At 39.7% G+C, this 26,712-nt stretch overlaps 1 protein-coding gene across 6 annotated transcripts in view; it reads right to left on the bottom strand.

The window, feature by feature from the left end:
- Positions 1 to 2,844: 2,844 nt before the first annotated feature.
- Positions 2,845 to 26,712, bottom strand: part of SERPINB12 (serpin family B member 12) — a 50,220-nt gene continuing 26,352 nt past the window's right edge. For 2 of the 6 annotated variants that reach the window (XM_005266778.4, NM_001307928.2), the window contains exons 2-8: positions 15,847 to 16,032; positions 13,688 to 13,822; positions 12,456 to 12,596; positions 10,972 to 11,089; positions 8,054 to 8,196; positions 6,562 to 6,729; positions 2,845 to 5,567 (exon numbers count right to left, since the gene is read on the bottom strand). In XM_005266778.4, coding sequence (XP_005266835.2) covers positions 5,163 to 5,567; positions 6,562 to 6,729; positions 8,054 to 8,196; positions 10,972 to 11,089; positions 12,456 to 12,596; positions 13,688 to 13,822; positions 15,847 to 16,032 — 1,296 coding nt within the window. In that variant the 3' untranslated portion in view covers positions 2,845 to 5,162. Of the gene's footprint in view, positions 5,568 to 6,561; positions 6,730 to 8,053; positions 8,197 to 10,971; positions 11,090 to 12,455; positions 12,597 to 13,687; positions 13,823 to 15,846; positions 16,033 to 22,649; positions 22,671 to 25,224; positions 25,274 to 26,440; positions 26,548 to 26,712 lie in introns of those variants that run through there. The other 4 variants (XM_011526246.2, XM_011526248.2, XM_011526249.1 and 1 more) reach the window with 4 other exon arrangements.

Genomic DNA, 26,712 nt, shown 5'->3' with positions numbered 1-26,712 from the left:
CTGATTTTTTTTATCCTTTATACATTATAACTATTTCTTTTTTTGCCCAAATGCTGATAGGATTACTTTCTCAATCTTTTAAAGTTTTTCAGCATGTCTGTTTTTGCTCTGCAGGGGGAGGGCGAATCATTCGGTATGATCCTGTGACTATCCAAGTTAAAAAGGTTTTCTTCCATCATGTCATGGATTGTTGACTTTATGCCAATTAGTCTTCTTTTTTCCTGAGAAACACCATAGTTGTTGGGTTTACTTTCTATTCTCTCTTTATATCTACCAACTTCTCTCTTATTATTTCCTATACATTCTAAGAGACACACTCAAATACACCCTATTCATCACTAACTAAAGTTTCCAGCATGTCAGTTTTGCTTCTTTATTGCCTTTAAATTCTATTTAAATTCTTCTATGGCATCTATTGCATTTTTTTGTTCCCTAGTGGTCTGTTTTCATCTCATTTAGCTTTTTCACATCTTATCAGAGTTTATCTTTGTGGCATTGCACTCCAATTCCATAGATTTTGTGTCTTCTTAAATCCTATTAATTATGCCCAAAATTAATATGCATTTTGGGCATATTTTCTAAAAGCTTCTTCCAGTTCTTGCTGTAAATCATTTTATGAAGTCAGTCTCTCTCTCTCTCTCTCTCTCTCTCATTTATAACATGATATATCTCTTCTTATTTGGCACTGATTTTTTTCATACCTTATACTTTTGTTTCTACTTATTTAATCTTGAACATGGAATGATCTGTTCAGGACCTATGTGTGTCAACAAGAGGTGTGCAAGTTTCTCAGCCCCGCTGTTGTGCACTGGATTGCTTTTTAAATCCTTTTCACCTCTCTGTAGCTAAAACTTTGTTGAAGCACATGAAGGGAAACAGTATTTAAATGGGAAATTTATTGCATTAGAATATGAGCATTTATAAATTAAATATCAAGTATATATTACAGTTAATGTAAATACTATGAATATATTATTATTTAATATGCTTAATAAGTATATTGATATGCTTAATATACTTAAGTATGCATATTTGGGGATATTTTCTGTTTTTATTGGGTAAAGAAAGGATTTGGATTCTTTTAATTGAGTAAGAAGAAAATAAAATGGATTTGGGAAACGAAGAATGCAAGACGAGTGGTGTGGATAAAGAACACATCTGGAATTGGCATTCAACTGTGGAGCAAAGAAATCCATTGAGACAACTGCACAAGATTCCTCACCCTGTTGCTCCAACTGGACCTCCGCCTCGGGTTAATGACAGTGTAATTTTTAAAAATACCAGCATGCAAAATCTGTAAACAGCAATTAGGAATGAAGCAACACATGTTCTGGCTTGTCGCAGCTCAAGGAAAAAAACTACAGAAGAGTTTGAGGAGTATGCGCTAGACAATGTGTGAAGTTATAAGGAGGACTTGAATTGAAATGCAATTGAACATACAGATTCTGTATCTATTAGGGAGCCTGTTGAGTACTATATGTCCATGTTTCTCTTACCAGAATATTTACAGTCAGCATAAGTGAAACAATTGTTTTTGAATCTACATTACCTCATCTGTTCTACCTGTCAACATTGCTATATGGAGAAAACCTTAAACTGAGGAAGTGGGGAGCTCATTCTCTTGTTGATTTAAAATCATGCTCTGGTTGGCTTTCCAGCAATTATATCAGCCTATGGACTTGTATGTTCTTTCTACCCCTGGGCACCATATTGCTGGGTCAATCTTGCTGGTGCAAGAAAAATGAAGAGTCAAGGTCTCCCTATTTGGAACATAATTTCCAGTGTCTGAAAGTCTTCCATCTAGTGTAGTTCTGCTGGGCTCAGGTAAATATTCTCCTCTTTGTATGGCCTGGGTCTGGGACACTTTAGACAGACAGTGTAGATAAAATATCCAAGAACTCTGCCACCAAGGCTTTTCCTGTCCTTGGCTCCACCAAAAGTATTTTATTGCTGATGACTAAACTGCCTAGGATGGAAAGAACAAATGCCTGTCCTCACCTTCTCCCAAGTCATAATTGGGAAGTCATTCAGTCTTCAAATGGCTGCAGAAAAAAAGAAACTAACTAATAAGAAAGACAGAGGGTGAAGGACAGCAGCAAGTACAAAATAAAGAGATAGACGTCTAAAATTCAAGTTGAGAGACAGCATGTGTTTCTGAACTCAGAGGAAGGCAGCAATGGGAGGAAACAGGCAGACTGACTCACTGGCAATGAGATGCAGGTGACCCCTCAACAATGCCTCACTGCCCAGCCTCGTTAACTTGTAGTCAGCAGGGACCAGGCACGGTGGCTCAAGCTTGTAATCCCAGCACTTTGGGAGGCCAAGGCAGGTGGATCACTTGAAGTCAGGAGTTCAGGACCAGCCTGGCCAACATGGTGAAACCCCCTCTCTACTAAAAATACAAAAATTAGCTGGGCGTGGTGGCGGGCGCCTGTAATCCCGCTACTCAGCAGGCTGAGGCTTAAGAATCACTTGAACCCAGGAGGCAGAGGTTGCAGTAAGCCAAGATTGCACCACTGCACTCCAGCCTGGGCAACAGTGCAAGACTACATCTCAAACAAAAAAAAAAGAAAAACCTGTAGTCGGCAGAAATGTCTTCTATATTCTGATGATCAGCTGGCTATCACTCTGGTTTTAGCATTGTCAGTTTTCATCTTTTTTATATGCCTTCATATGTAATTATGATGGAAAGCTGGGAGAAACTATTACTGGGGCAAGATGTATTTTTCCTGTGTAACTGAGATGAATTGTTAGTTTCATAGATTATGTATTTTTATATTTTTGGATGAAACAGTTTGAAGTTAAATTTATATCCCTAAAAAAATCAGTTGGCAACACATCGTATATATTTTAACTAATAACAAAAGTGCTTTATTCATTCAGAAGAAACTTCTTAATAAATCAAAGGTTAGTAAAGAATGTTTACTGATTTACATAAAGATTTAAGATTCTTAATTTTCCTCATTATTGTAAATAGATACATTCTCCCTCTCATGCTTCAAAATCTGAGAAATCCCGATGTAAATGAAAAAAAAATGTGTTTACCAAGTAAAAGAATAAGAACAAAAGAAATGCCGGGCAGTGCAGGCCTATATATAGGTCATGGTTTCCAGCTACGTGTCGGGCAGTGGTGCCAAGTCAGACATGGAAACAGCCCCCAAAACGTCAACCCCAAAAGGAACCACAGGGGACATGAAGTTTTTGGTTATCTGAAATTAATTTGACCCATGGGACATGCATTCTGGATAGGGCACTGCCTCAAACTGCCTCACGTTACCAACGTCAAATTGTTTTAGGTCGTAAGTGAGCTTCAACAATGAGAAGGTTGTATGGAGAACATGGAACTTGTCTCTCAGAGCACAAAGAAATCACTGGGGTAGGTGAGAAAAGGAAGAGGAGGCTAGCATGGGAGCAGGTGTGGTTCACCTGCCTTCTGCAAAAAAACTGCGTGGCCACACTGAACGACTGGTGGCAGCTGGGAGGAGGACAGCCACAAGGTGGGCCAAGGAAACTGAGCCGCAAGCAAGACCTGAAACCCACCTCGATAGGAAAGAGACTGACTCCAAAGAGATGTGAGTTGGACGTGTCAGTGGTCATGGCAGAACATTCAGCTAAGATAGAAATTAGGAACTCAGATTACCACACCAGAGAACAGAGGCCCTGAGTCCGCGAGTAGGAACACTCAGAGGTCAGGCCTTCAGTAGACTAGAGCTTGAGATGAGCCCAATGGCCTTCTTGACAAGGGTTTCAGGTTTTGTTTTGGCTTTTTGGGTTTTTTGTTTGTTTGTTTTTTGAGACAGGGTTTCGCTCTGTCACCCAGGCTGGAGTGCAGTGGCGCCATCTCAGCTTACTGCAGCCTCCATCCCCTGGGTTCAAGTGATCTTCCCACCTCAGCCTCCCGAGTAGCTGGGACTATAGGTGCACACCACCACGCCCGGCTAATTTCTGTATTTTTTGTAGAGTCAGGGTCTCAATATGTTGCCCAGGCTGGTCTCGAACTCCTGGACTCAAGTGATCCACCTGACTCGGCCTCCCAAGAAGTGCTGGGATTGCAGGCATGAGCCATCATGCCCAGCCAACAAGCATTGCTATGGACACCATGCCCAGGCTCAAGCCTGTTGTCACCATGTGGTCTGGCATGAGACCTCTCGGAAGACACAAAAGTCCACGTGGCCAGAAGGCAGAGAGAGGGGCACACGGAGGCCAGCCTCCACGTGGCCAGAAGGCAGAGAGAGGGGCACACAGAGGCCAGCCTCCACGTGGCCAGAAGGCAGAGAGAGGGGCATACGGAGGCCAGCCGTCCACAATGCCAGCAGCACTTCTCTTGACACCTGCCTGTGCTGGGTGCATAAAAGGAGCTAGCCACAGGTGGGAATTCTTGGAGCTAGGGGGAGGAGAGACAGAGGGAAGTGTTTGATGATAATGTTGGGGGACTCAATAAGGAAAACTGAGATAAACCTCCTCTAAATCCACTAGCCACTTTCCTGGGTCAGTGTCAAAATCACAAGACAAATATCATTCCCCTGCTCTGTGCAAAATGAGTGCTGGTTGGGGCAGTCACACATCTTTGAGCTATCACTTAAATACGCCCAAGCCCTGCCTTGTCCTAGGTGAAAAGACCTCACAGGACATCTTCCATGCAGTAGCTGTCAAAGGAAGAAACAGGGCATCTCGCCCAGTGATGACCACAATCATAACTATCCCAGAAACAGAGCTGAGTTTCCAAACACGTTCCGGTCAAACTACCCCAGAAACAGAGCTGAGTTTCCAAACACGTTCCAGTCAAACATGTTCTCTTGCTGCCCATGTTAAAGTGGCTTCTGAGTTTGCCATCTCTTAGAAATGGTCTAATGACCTGAACTTTTAGGATTCCTTCAAAAGGAGGTAGGTACTGTTCTGAATTGTGTTGACCTTCAGGTCACAGAGGGTGAATTTATATGCTTGAAAGTTTAGGGTAGAGAACAACAGCCCTTCAATACTAACAGACTCAGATGAAAATAAGCTACAGGGTGACAGAAAGATCAAGATAAGCACAAGCCGATGGCTGGAGGATGAAGGAGATGCTTTAGATATTACCAAAAACTCAAATGCCCATCTTATGCCAGGGGAAGATTGTATTGATATTTTCCTCCAGCTCCAAAGTACTAGACACTGCTCCCCTTTTAAGGAGAGCAGACCCTGCCATAAAAGAGAATGGTTTGGGTTTTGTTGTGTCTAATGAAAAAGAGAAAAGGGTGGTTGGCATTAAACTCCACCCAAGATCGTAGTGACCTTTCCGAGACAACAGCCCCAGTGGCTGCAGCTGCCTGGGTACCGTTTTCATCCACCTCCACAAAGGTTTTGTGGATAATTTTTGACAAGTACAAATTGGGACTTGGAGAGATTCCAGTAAGATCAGCCCTCGTTTCATCAAAGATATCCGTAATGCCCATGTCTTGTAAAATGGAATTGAGATCATAGCTGTCTTCCAGGGTGAACCGGGGGAAGGACAGGACCACCGATTCTTCTGACATGTTTTCTGAGCTGCTCCAGGCCACCATTTTTTCATAGGTGATTTTCCTTTCAAGCTACAAGAGGAAGGAAATAATATTTAGCATCAGATTATGGGACCACAAAGAATGCCCCAATTACTTCAAGGTGCCTGAGTCCCTTTCAGTGGGCAGTGACAACCTTCAAGACCTTTCCCTAAGCTAGAGAATAGTCTGATTTCATTTAAAACTTCAAGCAAATATCTTTCCTCTTTAGAAGAAGTTAGGGGACAACTCAGGTTCCAGTGTGCTCTGGTGTTTGAGAGACAAGTGTTCAAAGCACAGCAAAGCTCAGTCGATTAGTTGAGTTCTGTGGCCAAGCCCTCATTTTCTGAAGTTAAATTTCCTCTTCCATAAAAGAGAGATAATATGATTAAGTTCTTGCAAGCATTAATAAAATCATGTATATAAAGAACTTAACACAGTGATAGCACATAGCAAATTCTGAATAATGGTTGTTATTGATGTTGTAACTACTATACCTGCTATATTGGTATTCCTTTCTCACTTTCTCTCTCCTTCTATCTTTATCTCTTTACCCCCCTGGACAATCTGTAGCTGAGCTTCTCCAGCCTTTATGAATTCCTACCTCACAAGCAATCAATTCTGTTGTCACTCTCTACACTTCTGTCAAGGTACATATTCCCCAAAACAGTATTCAGTTAATTCTTTAATTAACTGAGCTATAGAAAAATGGTATGAGTAAGAGGCCAGAAGTCAGAATATTCAGAGAAAAGGGAAAACTTAAAAACTTTTCAAGTTACTCAGAACCCAGATTCCTTGATTTGCTAAAACAGTGGCAGAGAGCTATGAGATTAAAGAAGAAACTCCAATCCCAATATTTTTGGCATTTGTTGTTTAATTCTAAACAAATGAGGAATAAATATCTAATCTAATTCAGATTCTTACACATTCCTTGATGTCTCTGACAGCTGAGGTACTGAATTTCCTCGAGATGGTAGATAGTAGACAGTGTTGTTCTCTAAAGATCTATCATTAAATATTTTGTAGAGATGTGGAAATGAAGATTTACCTCTTCCAGACCCTTCAGGTTATCTTTAGAGTGAGATGGCAGCAGCACGAACATGCTGAGCTTCCCCTTGGTGTACCTCATTTCCAGGATCTGTGCCTTCACCTCCTCTATGAAGCCAATTCTGTAGAGGCCTTTTTGCGTCATCATCTTCACACTCTTGTTTTCATTCTGTAGTAGTCAAGGTAGGAGGTCACAGGACGGCTATGGGAAACTCCCAAATTCATATGGCCCCAGCTTCACGGAGGACAGGGGTTCCTAAAGATGAGAAGGTTCTGCAGGAGAAGTCCTGAGCCACACCAGGGATCCAGCCTACAAGAGTCTACCCACTCATCAGTGGCCCTTACTTTGCCAACACTTTATCTTTCCGTGTCTTTTTTTGTTGTGGAGTGACGGGGATGGGGGCCAGGTGTTTGCTTTTTTGTTTCTGAGACAGGGTCTTGCTCTGTCACCTAGGCTGCAGTGCAGTGGTGCCATCATAGCTCACTGCAGCCTCACCCTCCCGGGCTCAGGCAATCCTCCCACCTCAGCTTCCTGAGTAGCTGGGGCCACAGGCGTGGACCACCACACCTGGCTAATTTTTTTTATTTTTTGTAGAGACACGGTCTCCCTGTGTTGCCCAGGCTAGTCTCAAACTCCTAGTCTCAACTGATCCTCCCTCCTCAGCCTCCAAAAATGCTGGGTAAGCCACCTCACCTGGCCCTTTCCATGTTTTTTAATCAGTTCTTCAGCTCCCAAGGTGACTATTAGTAAACTTACTATCAAAGCATCTCCACTGTTAAGTCAGCAGAAACACGCCCTGCCAGCTGTCCCACTGTAGGGCCTATCCCAGCCCAGCCTCTTGGCCTCATACCACCCCATGCCAGCTGGCCTGGATGACCCCACCACAGCACCAAGGGCAGACATGTTAAGTGAGAATCATCTCCATATTAAATAACAACACCTGCTCCTTCAGAGGGACAGCACAACCCCAGGCACCTTAAATCTCATAATAACCTCAAGGTGGTGGGTGAGGGGTCATCAACCTGCAGATGGGGATATTTGGTGCTTGAGAGAAAAATGCATCTCCAGTAATAAGCTAGCTGGCCAACAAGTGGGTGGCTGGGACCCAACCCTTTCTGTTTCCTCCCATTCTAAATCTACTAGCTTAGAACACAAGTTTCTGGGGCAAACACTCACAGATTGAATCCTAATGCATGAATCCAGCTAACTTAGCCTTTCCTTTTTTTGTCTCAAATCCTAAGTGGAAATCATAATAACACCCATCTCATAATGCTCTTTGGGGGAACAAATGAAATAACAAATGGAAGAATACTCAGTGCAGGAAGCACTTGGCACAAAAATACTCAATGAAATTCAGGTACTGGTTCTTATCAACGAAAAATGTTCTTATTGTAAATGTAAGCTGTAACTTTTCGAGTATACATATTGTAAATCATTCCTAGTGGAAATTATGAGTTGGCTAGCTAGAAAACCATGAGTTCTGATACACTACCGCATTTAGACAGAAAGGTGCATCCACCGTGTTTTCATGGTCAAAGTATGTTTCCCATTTGGCCTTGAAGTAAACAGCATTCACCAGTACCAGCACAGTCTCAGCATTAATAGCGTCCTTGCTGAAGAGTTCCTTGATTTTACCTAAAAAAAGATCCCAGAGAATATCCTGAGTATGAATTGTATCAAAAGCATTTGTGTAGATAATTTTTTTTTTTTTTTTTTGAGACAGAGTTTCGCTCTTGTCTCCCAGGCTGGAGTGCAATGGCGTGATCCCTGCTCACTGCAACCTCTGCCTTCTGGGTTCAAGCGATTCTCCTGCCTCAGCCGCCAGAGTAACTGGGATTACAGGCGCCCGCCACCATGCCTGGCTAATTTTTTATTTTCAGTAGAGAAGGGGTTTCGCCATGTTGGCCAGGCTGGTCTTGAGCTCCTGACCTCAGGTGATCTGCCCGCCTCGGCCTCCCAAAGTGCTGGGATTACAGGCATGAGCCACCGTGCCTGGCCAATAATTCTTTTTAATGCAGTTTATCACCCCCAAGACTAGGGAGTGTCTCATTCAAGAACTAACCCAAGAAGATTAATTCACAGTCCTGGCTGGAGGTAAGCGAGGGGGTGATGGGGCAGGGGAGAAACCCTCTAACTCCACCTCGCAGGGGGTCCAATCACAGCACTGTAACAGAAGGAATCTCCTTTGATTCCCTGTATTGCTTGTGTTTGGAACTTGTCAGTAGACATCTTATACTATGGTTTATCTTTCAAATTATATAGTTAGTCATCTGACAATATGATAAGCTCCCTTGAGAACAAAGAACTACAATATAAACTTCCTGTCTCAAGCACTCAACATAGCATAAGGTATATGCTTACATGTAAACAAAAATACACATAAATGTGCTAGACCATGATATAAAACCTATTTTATAGATACTTTTATATGCTCTTTCTCATTCCACCCCACCTTAATCAATTAATTGATCCATCCCACGATAAGGAGGTATCATTATCCCTTCTTCATAGAAGAATCAATTGCATCCAGGGAGAGCTGAAGTCACACAGCCAAGAAGCAGTAAGACTGGCAGGAATGGGTCCTCAGGCCTTCCACCTTTGGGCTCAGCTCTGGGGCTCCTTCCACAATAACACAGCCCTAAGCTCCACTTGAAAAGCCCCAGGCTAGCGGGCAATATCCCACCTTTAGTATACACCCTTTCCTACTCAAACTACCAAATCACCAGTTACTTGAATATTTGCAGATGTCTTAAGAAGAAAAGATCTTCCATCTCAAGAAGAGCTCTATTTAAATCCCATAATAATAGATTAGGTTGACATCATCTACATTTCAAATTTTCTGGAGGAGTTAACTCACTAAGGGGAAAGTACATATCCAGGCCTTAATATGAGCTTCATTAATGAATTGCTTTCCTTTTGACAGCTGAGTAGAGCCTTGAAAGAATGGTCATTTTTATGGCCTATGAAAGAAGGAAAAAGCAATAATTTTGGAATTTAGAGACTTCTCCCAAGGAAAGGCAGGCAGGGGTATCCCATCCCTAAGTCAGTGTGAGAAAAAGAGGAGACAGGGAGAGAAAGCCACCAAATGGAAGGGAGGAACCGAAACTGTCACTCTGGTACCAAGGACAGCCTAAAATAAGTCAACTGTCATTTCCCAGCCTCCAGCCACTCAAAATGTATGCAAATGCCTGGGGTCATGGTCTCACTCTGAAGGCAGGAGACATAATGCACTACCTGTGCTCTCTCATGCACTCCAAACTTTTCACTGTACACGAACACCTTCGCCAGCCCCACACGATGATCAAAAAGGGGCCTAGTCTATGTCCAGCAGCCTGACCTGACCCTTCAGGTCACTAACTTTGGTCCTGGAGGGAAGAGTTTATTCTGTTTTTCAAATTCACACGGGCACCGGTAGAAGGGAGCATTCTCTAAGCCCCACCTAGAAGATCAGCACTAACGAGGCTGGTGTCCTCCTTTCCCGCCCAGAGCCAGCAAGACCAGAGACCAAAACTGCAATAATAAATAACAGCAATATCTAAGCAGTTTAACTGTTTGATGCTGTTCAGACCATGCTTTTTTGTTTTGTTTTTTTTTAAATTTCAGCTTTTATTTTAGATACAGGAAGTACATGTGCAGGTTTGTTACATGGCATGTTGCTCACAGATAGTAGGCATAGTACCCTATAGGTAGTTTTTCAACCCATTCCTCTCTCCCTCCCTGACCCAAGTTAGTATCTGGAGGGTTCATTGTTCCTTGCCATATTTATGTCTGTGTGTCCTCAATGTTTAGCTCCCACTTATAAGTGAGAACAATGTTTGCCTTTCTGTTCCTGTGTTAATTCATAGGATTATGGCCTCCATTTCCATCATGTTACTGCAAAGGACATGATTTCATTCTTTTTGATGGCTGTGTAGTATTCCATGGTGTATATGTACCACATTTTCTTTATCCAACCCACTATTGATGGACACTTAGGTTAATTCCATGTCTTTGCTATTGTGAATAGTGTGGTGATGAACATATGAGTGCATATGTCTTTTTGGTAGAATGATCTCTATTTCTTTGGATATATACTCAGTAATGGGATTGCTGGGTCGAATGACAGCTCTGTTTTAACTCTGAGAAATTTCCAAACTACTTTCCACAATGGCTAATTTACATTCCCACCAATAGTGTATAAGTGTTCCCCTTTATCTGAAGCCTTGACAGAATCTGTCGTTTTTTAACTTTTTAATAATAGTCATTCTGACTGGTGTGAGATGGTATCTCATTCTGCAAACCATGCTTTGAACACAGTCCACATATGTGAACCTCTGGCCCCCAGTAGACCAGCAGTCTGCAAAGCTAGGCAGACCAATTTTCTTTTAAATGGAAACCAATACCAGCTCCCGTGCTTTTGGGCTTTCTTACCTTGGGATTGACATTCAACCCAGAAGTTAATCTCTTGTCTGGATTTTTCAGGGTTTTTTTGGAAATCAACACTTTCAATCGTCGTGTGGTAAAATTGAATCACACCATCTAAGTATTCCTGTTCCATTGGAATAAAAGGGAAATAATGCAATAAAGTCAGGCAGTGATGCTCGTAGTTAGGAGTGAGACTCTCCTGAGAAGTCTCCCAAGAAAGATGAGCCTGGTCATTTCACATTTCATGGACAGGCCTGACAGTTTCTAGCCATCCCCAGTCTTAAACTAGCCAGAGACATTTCAGTTTTTTTAGTGAAAAATGAGGATATCAAATATTATTCATGAACAGTCTATAGTTACAACGGGACAAGCCTTTCCTACTGGATATCCTTTTATTTCAACAAACCATCTGTGGAGCCATCACAAGGTAAGTATCAAGTAACTTGAGAGACTTGGCTGGAAAATGCTTCTGTTTTTAAGAATTAAACTCCCGCTTAATGGTTGCAGAGTTTCTGTTTAGAGTGATGAAAAAAAAAGTTTTAGAAATAGATAAGGTGATGGTTACACAACATTGTGAATGTAAGTAATGCTACTGAAATGTACACATAAATGGTAAATTTTATATGTATTTTACTATAATTTTAAAAAATCAGTAATGTAATATACCAAACCCATTGGTTTGTGTACTTTTAACAGGTGAATTGTTTAATATATGAATTTATAGCTCATCAAAAGGCTAGTTTTTAAAAATCCAGCATGAAAAATCTTACTTTCATTGCAAGGAAACACACTTATTTTGGCCAAAGGAGGCCACCCAACCCCTGGCTAGTCCTGCTCTAACCAACCATGTCACGTCTTTGCCATTGGTCATATCCCCCACATTTATTATTTAGCACATGGCTCCTTCTAGTGATTCAAAAGGAAACTGAAGCCCAGATGGAGACACAGCTTGCTCTAGGTACGAAGCTGTTTAGCCACAGACACAAGTCCTGTGCCTTTCAGCTCCAAATGCCAAAACGCAGTCTCCTCCTGCTACCCCACTCTCAAAAGAGCATAGTGAACACAATTGCATTGCGGGGGTAGCCTGATCCTGGCACAAAAGGAGATTCCACAGAAATGTCTTGGGGGCACCTAACAGATAAGGGAGAGAGAAGTGCAGCAACCAGGCACATTGACTGGGGAAGACAGTCAGGAGAGGATGCCATTACCAAGCCCACACGTGCTCCAAAGCCTCCATTACTCACACAACCTTTTCCCACCCACTCTATTCCACCCACAATGGGCCCCGTAAACTGCTCACATTGAACACTGGGAAGAGAAGAAAACTGTGGGACTGAAAGAGGGAGGTCCTGGACACCTCACCAGTCCACAGCGCATCATCCTGTCAAAGAGGTTTGTGTTCTAGATGGCAGGTGAGTAACCCAGCTACTCCCTGATTTTTAAATAGTATGCTACATGGTAGCTTTAGTCACCATTCGTGTGCAACTCACCTGACAGATTGGGAATTCCTGCTCTCCATAAAGCCTGTTGGCAATACTCAGTGTGTAATCAGTCTTGATCCTGTCTAATTTGGAGAGAAGCTGCCCAAAGTAGCAGCTGACCAGTCCGCTCTCATTGTTTAAGGACCCAGCCTAAGGAAAGAAGAAACAAAATGTGACCTTCACTGTGTCTATCAGAAGAGCTAAACACCGCTAAAAGATGCGTGTTTTGTACAGAAGCAAGATAGAGCTTCTTAGTAAGATGTCAGCTGTCTCTGTTACCATGCTGGGGGAAGTGAGCTGGGAAGAACAGAGGAATGGAGGGTGAGAAGTGGTCCCAGTGGAAGATTATGGCTCCCACATCTATATCAAGATCATCCAGGAAAAATACATCTGGGGAACTCAGCAACGCTCACTATATTTCAGACTGACACACTCTGATTTTCTTTACATTTCAAAGAGGCCAGGCATGGTGGCTCATGCCTGTAATCCCAGCTACTCTGGAGGCTGAGGCAGGAAAATTGCTTGAACCCAGGAGGCGGAGGTTGAAGTGAGCTGAGATTGCGCCACTGCACTCCAGCCTGGCAACACAACGAAACTCCATCTCAGAAAAAACAAAAAGAAAGAAAGAAAGAGAGAAAGAGAGAAGGAGAGAAGGAGAGAAGAAGGAGAGAAAGAAAGAAAGAAAGAAAGAAAGAAAGAAAGAAAGAAAGAAAGAAAGAAAGAAGGAAGGAAAGAAAGAAAGACAATCATCTATCCACCCTCCTCTTAAACTTTCTAAAGTAGGGGGATGCATACCCTGGATAATATCTTTCCTCCTCCTGGCATGAGGCAACCAATAAAAGTTTTGTCTGTCAGTGCAGATTTCAGCACGAAATGGAACAAGCAGAGATAGAGGGAGACAGTAAGAATTCCACAGCTGACCCTACCCCTTACCACCTTTATCTTTGACCATACTCTGTGTTGGGGCCCTGTGGCCTATAGAAGCAGATGAGGGACAGAGTGATGATCTAGGCTTCTTTATCATAAGCAGAAGACACCAGATCCTACTCTTTAGGAAACTAGCTGATAGCCAAGGACATCTGAGATCCATACTCAGGAATCACAGATCACATGAGGTTATTGCTGTTGATGGTATCCAGAGTCTAATATTTGGGGATAAGCAACTATCACCAAATATCCTACAGCCAGAATAAGCAGTTTGTAAAAAAGAAAGGCAAGAGTTTTCTACGGTGGCGGTTCACCTGCTGATCCAGAGGCTCTGTCGTTTTTTTCTGCCCCTCCAGAGAGCTGTCAGCCAGCACTTTTTGTTTGTTGCTTTTCAGACAAGGGTCAGGTTCTTTGCTTTCATTCTGGGAAAATTCGTTGAAGTGTAGTACCTGCATGATAACGGGATGGGGTCTTTCAGATAATATGAACAGAGGGAAGCCTGAATAACTTCAGAAACATTTCATAATGAGACAATGGCAATGATTACATAGTCAAACAAAACAATCAACAACAGTTTAAAGGAAAGTGGGTGCTTCTGTACTTGGGTTGGGAGGTGGAATCGAGGAGAAGAACCAACCGCTACCCTGGGAGAGCATTTATGAATAAATATAACCAAACTAAAAGAACATAGAGGTATCCACAAGCTAAATGTAACTATGGAGCATTTCATAGATACCCAATCTGAATTGACTGTAAGTGCAAAATACACACCAGATCTTGAATATAGTATAAAAAAATAAATAAATAAAATAGCTCATTAAAATTCTTATATTGATGATATGTGGATATGATATTTTGCATATACTAGGTTAAAAAATTATTATTAAAATTAGTCCCACCTGTTTCTTTTTACTTTTGCAATACAGTTACTAAAAAATTTTAAATTACTATGTGGTTCTCATTATGTTTGTGTCAGACAGTGCTGATCTAGAGTTTCACATGAATCAAGGGAGTGAGGACAGCAAAAGACAAGTTATCCAGAGCCTGGTAGAAAGGTAGGAGACAGGCGTCATATCCTGCACTACTCAGACCCATTTGGTCAGCAGGTGCCCTCAACTGCCTAAGAAAGAACATCTGAATTCTGCCCTGCAAGATGCAAACCACACTCTAAAGCTAAGTTTTGCTAATGGAATAAGAAAATAATACACCAAATCTTAGTAGATGAATAAAGCAGAATGACCCCAGAAACACATTCTGTCTTAATCCATAAATTCTACTGCTCCATATTCAGGGGAAACAGCCTGAGTTGTGCATAACCCCCGCACTATGTGCTACATCCAAGGAAGTATAAGGCCAACCATGGGAACTTGTAGTTTATTTGGGGATTTGTTCTTATTACCTTCATTTATTTATTCTAGAAATGTTTATTAGGTGCCTACAAAAGTATCCCTTATGGTCTGGAGGTCAGGATGCAGCACTAGATTAGGAGGTCAAAGTAGGCCCCGTATAGGAGATAAACACTGATCAAAGTCTTGAAGAAGAAAGTGAGCTGAGGTCAGTTACCAGGGGAAAGAGCCATCAGGCAAAGGGACCGAGAGCAAAGGCCCCAAGATAGGATGGGCATGACTTACCCAAGGAAGCCAGGAGGCCAATGTGACAGGTACAGTGAGGAGGGATGAAAGTGAGAGATGGAGTCACAGGGCTTATCTGGGATTCAGATCTCCAGATCCTTGTGGGCCATTGTAAGGACTTGAACTGCTATCATGAGTGAAATAAGAAATCCAGGTTTTTGAACAGATGAGAAATAGAATCTGGCTCAGGTTTTAAAAGGGTCTCTTGGACTGCTGTGCAAAGGATAGATTGCCAGTGAGAGCAGGAAAGCCCATCAGGAAGTTGCTGCAGTATCCAGGTGAGAAAAGATGGTTGTGGTTCAGACCTCAAGGAGACTGGGAGAAGTGCCTGGATTATGGATATCTTTCAAAAGAAAAGCCAACAGAATTTTCTAACAAATGTGGTATAAAGTGAGAGAGAAAGAGTCCAGGAGGACACCAAGCTCTCTAGCCACTGGAACCATATATGGTACTTAATGAATATTTATTTAATGAAATGAGTGAGACAGAAGACATATACACATACTAAAAATCGCTAGCAATATTGGTATTAGCAATCATAGAGTAAAAGAGTGACAGACATGCATACAGAGATAAAGATAGAGATGAATGAGAAAAGCTGCCAGACATGAAGTTGAGGAGCACCCTAAAGAAGGTACAAGTTTAAGTGAGACTTTAAGAATGGTAGGATCGAAGAGGAAGTAAGATGGAGAAAATACAAATAAAGACTCAGAGACAGGGATGGGTTCTGACCAAGCCCAGGGTGCAATAAGCCCCTTGGCTTGCCTAAGTGGGATTAGGGTCTGACTTTGAGTGTGGACCCAGAGTTTAGGACCCTGTGTAGCACCCTAGTGGACACGTACCTCATCAATCTGATGTGCACTGTCACTTCTAGCACCCAAGCGTACCATACCAAGGGCAGCTGAGAGGCTCAGGGGAGAGAAAAATATGTTTTTATGACGATCATCTTTGCCTATCTCTTGAAAAAGATCAAAGCAAAATTTGGTGTTTGCTGTAACAAGAGAGTCCATTGTAAAACTTATAACGATCTAAAACCAAAAAAAAAGGAGAAAGAGAAAATGGTGATTGGAAGAAAATAAGTGAACAAACAATTTTATTTTACATACCTGAAATACAATCATGCACAATTATTCAGTATGCTATTAAGAACTGGAAAACTAAGGTCATTATCATCCCTGTATATAAATATTGGTGTTGATATTGATAGACAGAGATCTATTTTCATTTAGTAGTGTGAATTCGTTTCCTGGGGCTGCCATAAGAAATTACCACAGACTGAGTGGTTTAAATAGCAGGAGTTTATTCTCCCATGGTTCTGGGGGACAAACGTCCAAAATCAAGATATCAGCAGATTTGGTTCATTTCAAGACTCTCAAGGAAAATCTGTTTCATGCCTCTCTCTCAGCTTGTGGTGGTTGCCAGCAAACTTTGACATTCCTTGACTTGTAGACAAATCACTCAAGTCTCTGCCTCCATCTTCACATCCTTCTCTTTATTGTCCATGTATGTATCCAAATTTCCCTCTTCTTTTAAAGACAGCAGTCACTGAATTAGAGCCCATCCTAAGCCAGTACAACCTCATCTTAATTTGACCACATCTGCAAAGACCCTATTTCCAAACAAGGTCATATTCACAGGTAGAAGGATTAGGACTTAAACTATATTTTTAGGGGACATAATCCTACCCACTTTGTGGTGGAACTCCCTGTATTCACGTAAAATGAAGCCAAAGGCTAACATTCTTATTATCAAGTTAGCAGCCAAGCAAACATCATCCCATCTCATTCTTCTCCACAGATTGTGGCTGGTTCTGCTTACACCTTTTGCCTGTACTCTCCCCTCATTGCTCTGTGACTGAGGATATGCCCAGCAAATTCCCATGGGTCATGTGCCTTGTTAACATTCTCACCCCCTTTTGACTCATCCCACATGCAAACTACAGAATTTGAGGCACTTTAGTCAGTCATTCATATTGTTCAAGAGACAATAAATCTTGAATGATGCTGGGGGTCTTGATGTCACCAGGTGTACTAGTCCATTTTCACACTGCTACAAAGAATACCAGAGACTGTGTCATTTATAAAGGAAAGAGTTTTAATTGACTCACAGTTCCGCATGGCTGGGGAAGCCTCAGGAAACTTACAATCATGGCGGAAGGAGAAGGAGAAACAAGTACCTTCTTCATTAGGCGGCAGGAGAGAGAGAGAGAAAAGGAGGAACTGCCAAACACTTATAAAACCATCAGATCTCATGAGAATTCACTCACTATCACAAGAACAGCATGGGGGAAACTTCCTCCATGATCCAATCACCTCCCACCAGGTCTCTCCCTCAACACGTGGAGATTATGGGGATCACAATGTGTGATGAGATTTGAGTAGGGACACAGAGCCAAACCATATCACCAGGTTCAATGTCCTCTTTGACAGTGTAGAACTACAGATAATATAGAACCAGAGTGAGATAGTGACTTCCTAAGAACAGGTATCTTGCCTTCCCCACCCAATCTATTCCAGAGTATCAAGAGAATATGTAGATCTCACCACTGACCTATGCCTTTCAAATGAAATGCCTTTTCTTTTGTCTCTTTGCCTATAGATATTGTGTATTTCCAAGATAGAAATGTAAATCCTCTTATTTGTGCTTTTATCATCAGATACAGCACACCATAAGCATGAAGAAATATTGCTGCATTGAATGGAATGGTGTAATTTGTTTTAACACTTTCCCAGTTAATATAGATTTTCTTAGCCTATAAAACCTAATTCAAAAAGATAACATTATGTAACTTTTTAAAAAATGTGTCTAACATGTGCCAAATATCTTACATGTGTTAGCTTTAATCCTACAACTCTGCAAGGTAGATATGATCATTCCTTCTTTTTCAGAAAAGAAAACTGCATAATCAAATAGCACATATATTTGGCCCCAAACTAAGTAATCTTTCTACTGTATCTATCGTTTCTAAGTTGCCCCTCAACTGATGATAGGTGATCAAACACATGCCTGCTGTATGTGGGTACTCTCCCCCCTTATTCAGCTTATAGTCCATTTTATTGCTACATTTTCTTTCTGCCAAGTTTGTACCTAACTCACAGTTCTTATCTTGCATCTGGGAACTGGGTTTGAGACGTACTTTGTATTTTCAAACTAATTTCAGGGTAATCATAGATCACCAGAGTGTTTTCAGGAGCATTATGCCTTAATTGGTGGGTGTTTTTTGAGTAATGGATGTCCTGGATGTATCTGGAAATTCAATAATGCCTCACAACTCAGAAAGCTACCTTTGCATATGTTGGTAAACATCTTGATGTCCAACAGATTTTCTCTACACATAGCTCACATTACCCATCTAGTAACAAGTCTACTAACAAAGAAAAGAAAACCAACAAATTAAAGATGGTCTGAGTTGGGGGGATTTCACAGGCTTTCGATTAATGATAAAATTTTGTGTGAAATGTAGTCTAATATTTTTTAAAACCTTTGTTGTATAACTTAGGTTAATGTTTGATCAAAATCTTCAGCTCGAAGGAGGAGAAGGTAAAGGGAATCCTGGCAATTTGGCCATCACTATTAAAAGAAGACAAGAGCCTGACTATATTGAAGGAAAAGAAGGGGTTGGTTAGAAAGACTGAATGATCCCAACCTGGCTCTTCAAATGTTCCAGTTAATCACTTGGCTTCACCCCTTCTGCCTTCTAGCATGAGCACTCCCAGAACTGAATGATCAGAGTCTTGCCTGCTTTAGAAAGGACATGACTACTCATGCAGGCCAACTCCCTACTTCTCAAGATAAAAAAAACTGAGGCCAAATGAGGCGAAGTGACTTGCAACAATCATGCAGCTGTCCAGAAGCAAAGCAAGGCTAAGACTTCCTCATGCCTAGGGCTGCTTCCTCCTAGATCACACAGTTTTTCACATTCCATTCCATTCTAATTCTGGCACTACACTTACTCACTCTGTGGGCTACAGAACACTCCAAAACTCTCTCTGCCTGTTTCTGCATCAAGCTTCTATAAACTTTGTGAACTACTTTCCAGGAGTACTGTGATGCTCTCACCCCAGTAACAATTCCCTTTTCTGAGTGTTACCTGGTTCTAAGCTTTCATTACAGTTGTGTGCAGCTTTAATGCTGCCTCACCTCCCAAGGGAGTTGAGAGAACAATAGTAACAGAAAACAACGAAAAAAAAACAGCTGGACAGTTGCTGTTAAAGTTTTATGACTATATGTAAGCCCTTACAATAGGAAGATCTTTCCTGGCTTTACATACAAGTCTAAAACATAGCAAATAATGAACATTTAATGACTAGATTAAAATGTCATCTGCTAACCACCTTCTGAAGGGTTGCTTGGTTATTTTGGGGGGTGGGGGTGAGTCAGTTTTTTTAAATTAGAAACTGCCTAAATCTGACACCAACCTAATTATGAAGTTCTCCCACTGGGTTAGTCACTATATATAAAAGATGAACTGAACAAGACACAATCTCTGCCTTTGAGAAATCTATGACCTAACAGAGCAGATAATGCATTCGCAGATTCAGGAGTAGAGTTTAAGACGCATAGAAGAGTAAGATATTAATTTACAAAATGAAATAGAAAAGGGAAAAGAGTATTTTGTAGGAAGCACTCATTAAGATTTGATTATGCTAATAACACAGATTCAAATAGGCAATTTTAAAATATAACACTTTAAAAATACTTTAAAGCTTTTTAACATTGCTTTTATTTATTAAAAATAAGCTTAGACTGTTAGTAAAAATCATGTTATGTTATGTTGTTGCAATTAAAAAGAAAAGAGAAAGAAATTTAAGATTAATTGTCTTGTTCTCATCAAAAATCCCTTTGAAACCAGCCTAATTTTCCATAGAAATGAGTTTATGGTCTTTTTGAATAAACATAGAAATTGACCCTCCTGGTCTTAAAGCTTGAAACTTACATTTGTCGTATCTGAATTACTTCTTCAGGAAACCCATTCGCAGGCCTCCCAGAGAGTATCAAGCAACTGAAATTCACATCATGGCATGCACACAAAGAGATAGCAGAACCCACACTCGTCTTGATTATTTTCTTTCCCCTCCCTAATCCTTATTTTCCCATATGTAGCTACATTTCTTCCCCACTATATAAACCTCCCATTTTAGTAAGTTGAGGGAGAATGATTTGAGATTTATCCCCATCCCTTTGGCTGACGTCATCTGATTAAAGCCTTCTTCCCTGGCAACACTTGTCTCAGTGATTGCCTCTCTGTGCGGTGAGCAATAGGACATAGACCAAATCCCTGGCATTTCAATAATGCCTTTTACATGGACACTAATTTGAAAACAGTAATGACTAAATCACAAATTCCAAATCAATTGGATTCAAAATAGGACCACTTTAGCAAGAAATAGAAAGGCAGAGATCTAAATATTACAATACCAAAATGTAATTGTAAGAGAGATTTCTCAAAGGTATGTAGCAAAATCACCTTAAGAATTTTTTTAAAATATGTACAAATATGTTCATAGCAACACTTTCATAATAGCCAAAACTCAGGAACAACGCAAATGTCCATCATCAGCAGAATAAACACATAGCATGGATCTCACATCACATCATAAGATAATGTTGAGTAAAAGAAATCATACATGCAGCCCAGCCAACATGGTGAAACCCCGTTTCTACTAAAAATACAAAATTAGCCAGGCATGGTGGCATGCACCTGTAATCCCAGCTACTTGAGGGGCTGAGGCAGGAGAATCGCTTGAACCTGGGAGGCAGAGGTTGCAGTGAGCTGAAATCGTGCCATTGCACTCCAGCCTGGGCAACAGGAGCGAAATTCCATCTCAAAAAAGAAAAAAAAGAAATCATACCTGAAAACTTTCTTTTTTTTGTTTTTTTTGTTTCTTTGTTTGTTTGTTTGAGATGGAGTCTCGCTCTGTCGCCCAGGTTGGAGTGCAGTGGCGTGATCTTGGCTCACTGCAAGCTCCGCCTCCCAGGTTCATGCCATTCTCCTGTCTCAGCCTCCCGAGTAGCTGGGACTACAGGCGCCCACCACTACAACCGGCTAATTTTTTGTATTTTTAGTAGAGACAGGGTTTCACCGTGTTAGGCAGGATAGTCTCGATCTCCTGACCTCGTGATCTGCCCACCTCGGCCTCCCAAAGTGCTGGGATTACAGGCGTGAACCACCGCGCCCGGCCGAAAACTTTCATACTGTATGATTCCACTTACATAAAGTTCCAAAACTGGCAAAACTAATCTGCAGTTTTAGAGGTCAACAGAGTGGCTATCCTTAGGAATGAGTGGGGAGAACTGTGGTTAGCCACAGGTAGGGACAGTAGCAGACTGTCTCCCAAAACACAAAAGTCAACAAAAATCCATGATTCACAATGTTTGCTGATTTCTATGGTGTAAATACCCCCATTAAGGTTAATTTCAAACTGCCAGCAAGACACCATTGTACCCAGAGTTGGGAAAAATGCACAAAATCAGCTCTTGTGAGCTGGTATGAGCCGGCCTCAGGACACCATGTAAACTAGGCATGAAGGAGCCTTCTAGGAAGCTGGTACTGGTTCCTTTTTTGGTTGGAGTGTTGGTTACACATTAAGCTTACACTTATTTCTTATGCACTTATGTATTAATGTGTGTGTGGGTGTTCATGCAGGTATATATGTATAAAGTTTAATTTTAAAATGTATTGTAGATGTATTACTAAACATGGCATTTAATTTTAAGACATTGCAAGTTAGTGCCTAACACAATAGCTAAGAGTACTGTATATGGAAAATTGAAGAGAAATTTTTCAAAATGAAATTTTGGCCCCAGATGCATTTAGGGAATGCTCCCCAAGCATTCACAGGCCGTATTTGGTGTTTACTCTGGAAAATATCCACCACACAAAGAAGTTATTGTTTGATTGAGTCTAAAGGCAATTGCTCACACAGGCTGCCTCTTAGTGAGCTACAACTTGAAAAACTTGTATGCAATTTACTTCAGTCATCATTATTTTCAAACAGACTTGAAATAATCTTTTAAAATAGTAAGGTCTCCCAAAATTCATTCAGCTTAAGTAATTGGTGCTAACTCTATCCACAATGATGTTATACTACTAATAGCTACTGTTCAGTTTGAGCTTGTGATATGTCTGGCATTTCACAAATATTGTCTCTATTTTTCAAAAAATCCTGTAAGTTAGAAATAATTTTCATTGTACTTCCAACCACTACGTGGCACAAGTGGTGTGCAAATCAGTTCTTTCAGTGTGATTTCAAAGCTACCTCTTTCCTCCTATACCAGGCCACCCTCTGGAGCAGATAACACTTGTGCTCACAAAAGCCATGTCCTGAGTGACCACCATGTGGCTCTGTGGGATGCAGATGTCACCAGCAGGTCCATGTCTTGTTTGTGTCTCTTACCAAGACCACTGGTTGTAGAAAGGACCTCCTAGCACTGAGAGTCCATCTCAGGACGGCCGTGAACTCCCTCTCTGGAAGGCACATCTCAAGCTCCAGTTTGTCCTCCAAAGATTCCTACAATCTTTATGGGGGTTGCTTCTCTAGACTGAAAAATTACTCAAAAAATCCTTCTCAAATTGCATTGAAATCTGTGCAAATGTATCCTAAATAGATTGCAAACAATCGTAGCCTAATTGGGAGTGACTTACATGATAGCTCCCATGTACTATCCACAATGTCACCTCCTACTGACCATAGCTATATAGGAAAGAGAAGATAAGCAGTTCTTAGTCAGAAGAAAAAGAAAAAAATTCATTTTATATCAATACAAATACTATCATATTTTTGCCTATAATATTTTCCAAGTAAGGGATTCACGATTTAACTTCTAATGAAGTAGAAGAAGGAATTTTATTCTCAAGGTCTAATTTGTTATACAGATGGCAGAATAATAGTAATGAGGAATTTTGCCCTCACAATACTGAAAAATAAATCGCCTTTATTTTTCCGTGTGCTTTCCAATCTCTCAATCACTGCATTGATGTGTGTGTACGTGCCTGTTTATATGAACATTTTATGTTCACTTGTTTTCACTTCAAATTGCATCTTAAGTGTTTATCCTAATACTGTCTTCATAGATGTTCTTTTAATGGCCTTATAATATCTCATTATACTGACTTATCTAAATGTTTAAACTAACATCATATTGCTAGATACTTAAATTAGCTTCCCAGTTTTTATTAATATGAATAATTCTACGATAAACATTGTCATAAATATAGCTTTTATCTCCCTTCATATTATTTCTTCAGAGTATCTTCTTCAACATGGGATTTCTAGGTCAAATATTATAAAGATTTTTAACTTTCATACTGTCAGCCAAAAGTTACAGATGAAACTGCTATATCATAATCACCTTTTTCAGATATTATTGCCATTCTTAATAACTTAAAAAATAAAAAGAAAATTGTATTATTTTTAAATTTACATGGCATTGATACTTGCTAACATTTGAATGTTTCTCCATGTGTTCTTTTCTCTTTATAAATTCTCACATATTAACTGTCTCTTGTTCATCTTTCAATTATCTATTGAGGTCTTGATCATTTATTTATGGATCATTATGAACTCTTCATATTATATAAACATTTTATGTTTTTCAAACTTGTTCTTTAAAAAAATTTCCCCTGTTTTACCTTCCTTTATTTTCTTTATTGTTATTATAGAATTGTTTTTACTCTTATTTACTGAAAATTGTCAATATTTTCTGGCACTCTCTTCTATCACTTCAAAACCTTGAGGGTAATGTATTTTCAACTTAATTTTAAAACCTCATCTACTTTCAATTTTTTACAAGAAAGAAAATCTTTCCTGTAAGATTTTAACTTACATTGTTAGCTTTGAAGATACATTTTTAAATACTGACTATCTGAAATGTGTAACATTTTTAATTTTTTAAAGGTATTTTTTTCCATTTTTATGGTGTTTGAGGTATCAACAAATGATCTATTTTGCTTGTTTTCTTTCCTTCTGGCTTTGTTACACACGTAAAACCTTCTTCCACTTTCCTCCAACCTCTCCCTCTAAAGAGTTAATTAGTCACCACTGTATACAATAACCATACAACATTTGTTTCCCTTAACTCCTCTATCACACTGTAAGGTAATTATTTTTTATACTGATGTCTTTACTTCCAAATCATAATTGTCTTGAAGGTAGGTTCAGTGTTTTTAATTCATCCTTGTACCCATCCGTGAAGAACACAATGGTAGCACATGAGAACCCTTCATAATATTTATGGATTGATTTGCTGTCATCTGCCCATTTTTCATTGTAGATAATCCTAATGTTTGAAATGTTAGAAGACTATTTAGCATTTCATATTAACTTTATATATCCTGCAGGAAGCTGTAATTAACAGAGATTCTGCATAAGAGAATCAGCTTTTTATTAATTTTTTACTATATAAGAAAAAGTTCACTTACTGCAATATAAAAAAAATTCATTTACTGTATAAGAAAAAGTTCATTTATTACAATTTTCCCTTATAGTAAAAATGTAAAGGTTTAGACAAGATAGACATTCTAACAACCCAAAATATTCTGAGTAAAACTGTTTTTTCCTATATATAGTAGGAAGAAAAATATTTATACTCCAAAAATATTTCATGTCTTATAATTTCTATAATTCCCACAAAGCTACTAACAACTCAAGAATGAAATTCAAACTTTACACAAATAGATGCTATTCTGCTGGAACAAATATTCAAACCAGGTTACAGCAAACTAAATAATAACCAATATCTAAAAACAAAGAAATACTTGTGAACAATACCATCGAAAGTGTTTTCCAACTTATGGTGCAAAAAAAAAAAATCTAACTCACATTGTTTAAAATATAGATATTCTAAATATTATACCATCTTATGTTTCAGAAATAATTCATTAAAAGATAAAATACAATATGTCAAGTATGTGAAAGTTTAAAAAGTTATTCAAACATCTACATTTTAAAAAAATCAATCATATACATCAGGCATCTGACCAGGTGGTTGGGGCTGAGCGAGGTGACAAGCATTGTTAATATCTCCCAGTGATGACTGCCACATCTGCAGAAAATCCAAAACATCATAAAACTAACTCACTTTTTTTAAGTATTTGACTTAATAAAAACAAGTATATCCTTCTATTTCAATCACATCTCCTCTGGGTTTCTATCCTTTAAAATGGTTTTCCAATTCAGTGTTCATTGTTAAAAATTATATCAGGCAATTCGAGCATTTACCTTCTTGCCCTCAGAGTTGCTGCTAACAGCTGGTCAGGTAAGCTTCCCTCCACACCCTGTCGGGAATGGAAATATATCAACTTTGCCCCTCCCTCTGTGGAACTTTTCCAGTGCCATTTTGGAATCCAGAGTAAAATCATCATTGATAGATTAAAGGGAAAAGAAAAGAGTGGCATATATTTTTAAAACAAATGCTATGCTTTTAACTACATTGAATATTTAACTTAATATGCTTATATTTTCTTTGCTCTTTCCAATTTTATAGAGCCCTCAAAGCAATACTTGGCTCACACTTTTCAATTCAAATTTCTATACTAGAAGACCATGAAGCAGAAATGTATTTTACTTCATATACACATTGTCTTAGATGATTTCTTATATTTGAATTTTTGCATTATTCTAAAATCTTTCTAAGTTATTACATAGGATTTGCAAAATGTGCTCTAAGCTACTTCAAAGTTTTTGCTTTCCTGCAGTAGGTGTGTGGTAGGGATGAGAATTATTATTTGATTATTGACACACATATTTTACAACTGAAAACACAAAACTTTTTAAACTTAGCCAAAGCATGTTCTGATGTTACTTTTGGTTCTAGCACTCTACAATCGTGTTATGTTACTGACTGTAAACATGAGGGTCAGTGGATAGGGCAAAAAGTGTGGAGCAACTAGGAGAAAGCTAGGAAGAGTCAAACTCCAGGAACTGACATGTCTTAAGGACAAACGAGGACCCCTCTCTGACCTGGTTCTCCTACTGAGCCCTTTATCTTCCTTTTCTAACTTGTTGTCAGACAACAATATTATCTGAACCATGACCCTACAAATACATTAGGTGTAGAGAAATTCAAAGGAAAACTTTCTAAAATGGAGAGATGGCCTTTATGGAAAATATAAACTACTTATGTAGCTAGTGTATAAATAAAACAAGTTTTATAAGATATTGACCAGTGGAAATTAATGACTAAGCATCCAGAGTTTTTCTGAATTATCAATAGTAAGCATAGAAAAGAAACGTGCTGTTAGTTTTCTTTACTCCTTGATCATTTGAAAATAATTATTTTTTTTTCTAAATTCTTCCACAAAATTCTAAAAACCAGTCTAGTCATTGGTTATGATTTGCAAGAGTTTGGAAAATTTTAACACGTGAATTATTTAATATTTTATGTCATTGATTACTACTTCATGTTGCCCATCATAGCCTTTCCAAAAGGGTATACCATTCATATTCAGAACAGGATGAGTTCTTGCCTGGCTTCCTGGAAGTAGGTGTCACATCTGTTACTGTTGGGGGATAATATTCAAATTTCACTGGGCTTCTGGGTACCTGAGAAGAGTATAAACTTGTTTGAATGTCTTTAATCTAGATTTGCATCTGTTTATCCTCTTAAATAATTCAACAAAGATCTAACTACAGATGACTGTGCCCTACAAGCCTAAAAATTTGGTGTGGTGCGATTGCTCAATGAGCGAAGATGAAATCTGACACTAA

This window comes from Homo sapiens, chromosome 18 (genome assembly GCF_000001405.40).
Source record: "Homo sapiens chromosome 18, GRCh38.p14 Primary Assembly".
Taxonomy (NCBI): Eukaryota; Metazoa; Chordata; class Mammalia; order Primates; family Hominidae; genus Homo; species Homo sapiens.
The sequence above is the reverse complement of the archived record's forward strand: the minus strand, read 5'-3'. Positions and strand labels throughout refer to the sequence as shown.